Here is a 1,218-nt window from a genome sequence, read left to right as displayed (position 1 = left end):
CAGCCGTGCACCTCCCTGTGGGGAAAAGAAATGTGGGGCCAGGATAGATGTGTCCCCTGAAGCTTGTGGCCCTCCCCCATTCTATTCCATGTTCCAGGTACTGAGGACCCCAAAATTATCAGCCCCAAACAACCCCTCACAGCCTACAGGACCTGCAAACCTCTTCCCAAGATCCATCCTTGTTGGGGTTCAGTCAGGCTGGTAGGAAAAATATTAGTTAAGATAGCCACAAACCCTCTTGGAAGGCCTGAGAGTTTGCATAACTTTGATAATATATATGGTTGAAGGCAACCTGATCTCTAGCTAAATAAATTAGAGTAATAACAAAGGAATATGGGGAAGTTATCTAGCTAGCTTGTTTACTTATGTGGTCTTAAGACTAATCTTTGATGTACCGTGGGTGCTTAAGTGCTTTCTACTCAGGAAGTCCACAATGTCAATTACCCTCTAGTGGTGTTGACTCAAGCCTTTATCGATTAATCTTTACCAATAAACGCGAGTCTCACTAGCTGGTCAGGGCCACAGTCACAGCTGTTTACAGGACTCTGCTGGAGTCTGTAAGTGGCTTGGACACTCAGCTGGACTGGCAAAGCAGAATATCTGTGTGTCAGTGTACTTCATTCATCCGTCGCTGGGTCAGGGTCTGGGGGTCAGACCCCTGCAGCTGGTGCCCCTGTGTGAGGAACGCTACCACACATCCTGGCCTGGGCTGGGGAGTCCATCCAATGGGTAAGTGTTTGATGGGAGGGTTGGCCACAGCTTGCACCTCTGGCCTGAGGTGTCCACAGACTTAAGATCATCCCCCTTACAGCACGAGATGGAGTGAGGGGTGGGAAAGAGTGGAATGGGCAGCAGGCCAGGGCTTCTGCTGGAATACCTGTTTTTGATCCTGAAAATATGTTGGTGTTTTGTGATGAGGCACTCTAGGAGTTGATGGCAGAGCTGAAGTGAGAGCTGGGCTGATCCCCAGTCTAGAATGGATTTCTTTTTGCCAGCAAGGAGTTAATCTGCCACTGTTACCTGTTTCTGATTGTTTACGGGAAGATGTGATCATGAAAGGCCAATGAGAGTGTTCAGGACTCTGATTCTTCTTGTCTATCTAAATTACCATCTCAGGAGGTAAAGCAAACCAATTTACCTTGAGGTTTTCATCAAAGAAATCCATAGACAGCCCAGGAACCACATGCTAACAAGATAGTGAGTCCTAATGTAGAAAAA

The 1,218-nt window shown here is 47.3% G+C and overlaps 2 annotated features.

Annotated features, from left to right (window-relative positions):
* Positions 336–630: an enhancer, noted in NCBI's record as "tiled region #11714; HepG2 Activating DNase matched - State 22:ReprW". NCBI's record gives its function as "activates a minimal TATA promoter and a strong SV40 promoter by Sharpr-MPRA in HepG2 cells {active_cell/tissue: HepG2}" and the evidence as "EXISTENCE:reporter gene assay evidence [ECO:0000049][PMID:27701403]".
* Positions 336–630: a silencer, noted in NCBI's record as "tiled region #11714; K562 Repressive non-DNase unmatched - State 24:Quies". NCBI's record gives its function as "represses a minimal TATA promoter and a strong SV40 promoter by Sharpr-MPRA in K562 cells {active_cell/tissue: K562}" and the evidence as "EXISTENCE:reporter gene assay evidence [ECO:0000049][PMID:27701403]".

Source organism: Homo sapiens, chromosome 13 (genome assembly GCF_000001405.40).
Source record: "Homo sapiens chromosome 13, GRCh38.p14 Primary Assembly".
Classification (NCBI taxonomy): Eukaryota; Metazoa; Chordata; class Mammalia; order Primates; family Hominidae; genus Homo; species Homo sapiens.
This window is presented reverse-complemented; position numbering and strand designations above follow the sequence as displayed.